Below are 6098 nucleotides of genomic sequence, written 5' to 3'. Positions count from 1 at the left end.
GAGAGTTGTGCTAATAATTTACTGACTTTCAGATTCAAATTCACCCTTCAATACCTGCTCTGCAATAATGGACGGAATTCCATTGGGCATTTCTTCTTTACAGAGAAAAAATGATTTGATCATTCACCATGTGAAGCTTTCTCAGTAGAGGGCCCTGATGGGACATTACAGGAGAAAGGAGCCTTCCTGGTGTTAGTGGTGGCTGCACCATCAGGCAGCAGTGTGGGTGTGGGAACATCAGTGGTGTTCTAATTCCAGCCACAGGCCCAGAACTCATGATTCCTTGATGTCCTTGCAGCTCTGTCCTGGCCTAATGCCCACTTTCCCATGGCCTTCTTACCACAGACACTGCAGGCTCCAGACCTCCTTGTCTGCAATGGTGTCCCTACTCCCTCTGCATGCTCACGTGCCAAGCCATTGGCTGCAGTTTTTGTAATGTGCCACCTGTGCCCCAGAGGGTTGCTTCCTGCTTGCCCAGTGGCTGCAGACCAGCTCTGGCCTGGGCAAATCAGCAAACTTCTCTGCCATCCAGTGGTTGCAATCTGAGCCTTGGGGAAGGGCTCATCCTGTTTTATGTTCATCCTGTTTTATGTTTTATGTTCATCCCTCCTTGGGTACTCTCTTGGGTACTCAGCCTTAGGGTACCACATAGAGTTATCTTATATATTATAATTGCTCTTTTAACATAATTTTAAAAAATTTATATTAAACTTTCTCTGTTTAAGTCACTGTGGTTTCTGCCCCCTCATGGACAAAGACTGACACAAAAGTGAAAGGGGCAGGGTGACAGATGTCAACAAGGATAGGCCGGCACATACTGGCATGTGTGGTCACCTACCCTAGAGATGGGAGGGTGGGTCCTGACTACGCTGGAGGCTCTGATTTATTTCTGAAGTTCAGCTATTTATTTGCCCTTGAGTTTTGAGACAGGCCTATTTCTTAAACTAAATTATATCTCTTTGCTTTTGGAGAGCTCAAGTGTGTTTCTGTTACTTGAAACCAAAAAAGCCATCATTAATAAATATGCAATTTCACATTCTATTAAATATGCCTCAGAAAAGGAAATAAAGGGATAAAGAAGGACTATTCTAGAAGCAGAAAAAAAAAAGGAGAAGGGAGATTATGCTGAGGATTAACATGAGAGAAAATCCTAGTTCTTTAAATATCTCAGTTGGGCTTGATGCTGATGTTAGGGCTTCAAGTTCTTCAGAGATGACTCATCCCTGTCATCTCTGACTGATGGGGAGCTCACACAAGGGAGCTAGATGGGGCACTGGCCAAGTGATTCTGCATGCAAGAGAGCATGGCTGAGGTCAAATGAGGCCTCCTACTCTTCACCCAAACTAGACTTTGGGAACTGCTCACCTCATGTATCTGAGAGAAGAGTTAGGTACGCAGAGCCCACCCAAATTCACCAGCTATAGCCAGTTGCAAGGACTAAGGCTGCTTCATAAATGAACCGCAATGGGACAGAGTGAAGGCCCACACCTTGGCAGCATGCTCCCAGTGAAGGGAATGCGTTGGGCTGGTTTCACTCTGCAGAGTCAATTCCTACCCATTAATAAAGCATGTCCTAGTAAATATTACACATTTGCCAATCAGACTTGCCATTTGTTTGCTTGTTTGCTTGTTTTTTGAGGCAAGGTCTCACTCTGTCCCCCAGGCTAGAGTGCAGTGGTGAGATCTCAGCTCACTGCAGCCTTGCCCTCCTGGTCTCAAGCAATTCTCTCACCTCTCAGCTAGTAGCTGGGACTCCAGGCACATGCCACCATGCCCAAGTAATTTTTGTATTTTTTGGTAGAGATAAGGTTTTCACTATGTTGCCCAGGCTGGTCTCAAACTCCTGAGCTCAAGTGATCCACTCGCCTCGGCCTCCCAAAGTGCTAGGATTATAGGCATGAGCCACCATGCCCAGCCCAGAGTTGCCATTTTTGTCTGAGGGAGGCAGACAAATCCATATGGGTCTGTAGCAGCCTCACTTCTTGACTCCCCAGAAGAAAGAACTCCACAGAGGGGTATAAGGCAGAGGGAAACACTGAAGCAAGTTTTAGAGCAGGAGTGAAGGTTTATTAAAAAGCTTTAGGCCGGGCACGGTGGCTCACGCCTGTAATCCCAGCACTTTGGAAGGCCGAGGTGGGCGGATCATGAGGTCAGGAGATGGAGACCATCCTAGCTAACACTGTGAAACCCTGTCTCTACTAAAAATACAAAAAATTAACCGGGCATGATGGCGGGCGCCTGTAGTCCCAGTTACTCGGGAGGCTGAGGCAGGAGAATGGCGTGAACCCGGAGGCGGAGCTTGCAGTGAGCCGAGATCACGCCACTGCACTCCAGCCTGGGCAACAGAGTGAGATTCCGTCTCAAAAAAAAAAAAAAAAAAAGAAGAAGCTTTAGAGCATGAACGAAAGGAAGTAAAGTACACTTGGAAGAGGCCCAAGGGGGCGAACTGAGAGATCAAGTGCACAGTTGGACCTTTTGACTTAGGGTTTTATATGTTGGCATGCTCCCAGGGTCTTGCATTCCTTCTCCCGGATTCTTCCCTTGGGAGGGGCTGTCCGTATGTGCAACAGCCTGCTAGCATCTGGGAGGGGAGCATGCGCAGTGTTTGTACTGGAGTTGTACACATGCTCACTTGAGGCGTTCTTCCCTTACCAGTTGCATGTCCTTAGAAGGTCATATACCAGTTAAGTTGCGCCATTTTGCCTTAGTGCACATGCTAGAGCCTACCCGCCCAACTCCTGATATCTTATCAGGAAGCTGCTGATCACCGGTTTCAGGTGTTTTCTATCTATTGGGAGACTGCCTTTCCCTGGGCTGGCTACAACCAATTATTAATGTTATGTTTAGAGAAATATTGTAACAACCACCTAACCATCACCTGATGGTCGCCTGACTTTCCTGGTGGGGCAAGGGGAGTCCTTTCCTGCCATGCTTATGTCTGACTAGCTACCTACTGTAACAGAGCCTCCCTCCCTGCACTTCCTCTCATGTTAAGATAGGACTGAAATTTTGGTGTCAATCCCCTCCTCCATGAGCCAAGATGAGAATTTAAGGAGTCAAAAGGAACACAAATATTCCTCCTTTTCAATAGTTAACTTTTACCTTACCTATTCAAATACAGGGATTTTTTAAAAATTCTGCACAGAATATTTGGTGAATTATAATAATCATGCCTGGAATCATTTTTATCTTTCAATGCACCTTTTCTTCAGAGTAAAAAAATGTTACATCAGTCCTTAGTAGAGTATGCAACTTGAGATGCTTTTGCTATGAATGGAGAGAATCTAAGTAGACTTATTCACTTTCTTTTATCTAGAAGTGCAAAGTTGGATAAGACGTGGTCTTTGCCTTTTAGAAAGAGGGGCACTTCCATTCACATTGTGTTTCTTTTGGCTCTGCTATGGAGAACAATAATTAAATAAGGTTCTGACCAATCAGAATGGATGATGAAACAAGAGTGGGTGCTGCAACCAGTCGGAGCTGATGTCACAGCTAATGACAAGGATGCTGGCTGTACACATGAAGCAGGCTGCGCAGTATGTTACAGTGGAGGTTATCTCTGGATCTGTGAGAACCCAAGTCTAAGCTGGTAGAAAGGACTGTGGGAGAGTCCCTGGCTGACTTCAGTCAAATCTTCCTGTCAAGTTGATGGCATTCAAAGATAGTAAAAAACTGGCAAGTAGTTGGGGATTTTTCAAGAATATTTCCCCCTGCAGCCTCCTCCTCCCATAGCTTTAATCATCTCAGTACATTGCAACACAGCTTTTCTAGTTGCTCTTTCCAAAATTTCTCCTCTTTTACTCTAACATCCTACATTTGCATTGTAAGCAAATCCTGACAACTCCACCTTCAAAATATGTCTAGAATCTGACTAGTTTTCAGCACTTCTATTAACTATGTTTCCTGGCCCAGCCACCCTCATTTCTTGCCTGGATCACTGGAATGTCTTTTTCACTGGTCTCCTGCCCCACTTCAGTCTATTCGTAATCTGACAGCCAGGGTGATTTCATTAAAATAGAGTAGGATTGTGTTGCTCCTCTCCTGGAAACTCTCCAATGGCTTCTCATCTTAGAGTAAAAGCCAAAGGTCTTACCCTGGCCTACAAGGCCCCACATTTTCTAGATCCCCATTATCTCTCTGACTGTATCTCCTACTAACTCAATGTGGCAGACTGATGGCAAATCTGGTCCTAATTCTCCACCCTTCACTATATTCACACCTTTTGCAATGTGACTCTGAAGCTCTTCCTATGAAGTGGAGTTTATTTCTCCATCCCTTGAAACTAAACTTGTCTTATCAATTGCTTTGGCCAATAGAATGTGGCAGAAGTGACAGTCTCCATTCTGAACTTAGGCCTTAAGAGGGCTTATGTGTGTTCTCTCTCTCTCTCTCTCTCTCTCTCTAGCCTCTCTCCCTCCCTTTCTCTCTCTGACTCTCTTTTGCTACTGGAGGATATGAGAAACAGAGATATGGAAGCAGACCTAAATCAACCCAGTCATCTTGTCAAAACTCTCAGATATGTAAGAGAGCTCAGATAAGATCAGCAAAGCTGTGCTGGCTTGCAGCTGACTGTGAAAGCATGAGTAAGCCCCACCAAGATCAGCTCAGATCAGCAAAACCATCTAGCTGATCTTGAGACTGAGGGGAAAACCTAAATGCTTATTACTGTATACCACTGAAATTTTGAGTTTGCTTGTTACTCAGCATTATTGCGAAATTGATGACTGATGCGTTACTTTGCCCATTATTCTCCAGCCTTCTGGAAAATGCCAGTCACCTCTCTACCTCAGAGTCTTTGCACTGGCTGTTCCCTCTGACTAGAATACTTCCTCTCAGTCTTCCTACCTCCAATAGCTGCATGCCTTGATCCCTAACCAACTTCAAATCTTTTCTCAAATGTCATCATCTTAGTGAGATCTTGTCAGGACATAACATATAATGCAACCTTCTTTGAACACTTAATATTCCCCCTTGTCAACTTTCAACTTTCTTTTCAGCATTTATTGCTGTCACATATATATATATTTTTTTCCTTGTTTGTTGTCTAACTCCCTTGTAAACTCCTTGGGAGCAGAGATTTTTTGACTATTTTATTCAAGATTATATTCCTATGCCCAAAATGGTATCTGGCACATAAAAGACACACAGTACGTATTTGTTGAATAAATATGTGAATGAATGTGAATTCTCCACAGAATAGTAGAAGTGATGAGAAAATGTTTTCCTCAATTTTAAAAAAATTGGTAAAAGCAAAAATAAAACATTATATCTGCTTGATCTATATAACTTCTCTCCGTCTCCACCACCATGATCCTAGTCATAGCTGCCATGAGCTCCTGTCTGCATGGTTGCAATTACCTCCTAACTAGTATTCCTGCCATCAGTCCTTGCTCCCTACAATTTCTTTTTCTCCATTGCAACCTGGATGATTTTCTGAAAGGGCAAACCGGAGAGACCAAAATCCTTAGCATGGCCCCACAGTCTCTTCTCCTCACTCTCTTTGCTCGTTCTCCAGTCTTCAGGTTTCCTGAAATAGTCATGCCTCTTCCTGCCTCAGGGCCTTTTCACAAGCCATCCCCTCTTCCTGGGAGATGTACTCTTAATCATCCCTCGGCCTAGTCAACTCCTACTCATCCTTCCATTCTTATGCAGAAAAGTTTCCCCTGAATCCACAGGCTCAAGTTTCTCTGAGAGTCTGTGCTTTCTGTTTAAGGCACACAATGCAGTTGATAATTCTGGGTTTGTGCAATTACTTGTTTGATGTCTCCTTTTTCCAATATACTGCAAGCTCAGTGAAGACCTAAAGCTATTCAACAGATCATCTGGCTAAGTTTGGCCTGAAGTTCATATAAGCCCTTTGAAATTGAGAGATTTGTAGTGTCAAACAGGAAACAACTATGAAGAAAGGGCTTTTGCATAACGAGTTGCATCTTCCAGGAAAGACTCAGCCCCGACGATATTTTTATTCCTTTCTGAAGCCACAAAGGTCTATAAACCTCTCCTCCCCCATGATCATCACCAGCCCATTAGCAGGAGAAGACAGTCGGACAGAGTATTGACAATCTAAAGGGGTTGTGTTGGAGAACAGCACCTCTTGT

The 6098-nt window shown here is 44.1% G+C and overlaps 2 annotated features.

Annotated features, from left to right (window-relative positions):
* Positions 1100–1159: an enhancer, noted in NCBI's record as "active region_2233". NCBI's record gives its function as "activates an Ori minimal core promoter by ATAC-STARR-seq in GM12878 lymphoblastoid cells {active_cell/tissue: GM12878}" and the evidence as "EXISTENCE:reporter gene assay evidence [ECO:0000049][PMID:35858748]".
* Positions 3421–3500: an enhancer, noted in NCBI's record as "active region_2232". NCBI's record gives its function as "activates an Ori minimal core promoter by ATAC-STARR-seq in GM12878 lymphoblastoid cells {active_cell/tissue: GM12878}" and the evidence as "EXISTENCE:reporter gene assay evidence [ECO:0000049][PMID:35858748]".

This window comes from Homo sapiens, chromosome 1 (assembly GCF_000001405.40).
Source record: "Homo sapiens chromosome 1, GRCh38.p14 Primary Assembly".
Classification (NCBI taxonomy): domain Eukaryota; kingdom Metazoa; phylum Chordata; class Mammalia; order Primates; family Hominidae; genus Homo; species Homo sapiens.
The sequence above is the reverse complement of the archived record's forward strand: the minus strand, read 5'-3'. Positions and strand labels throughout refer to the sequence as shown.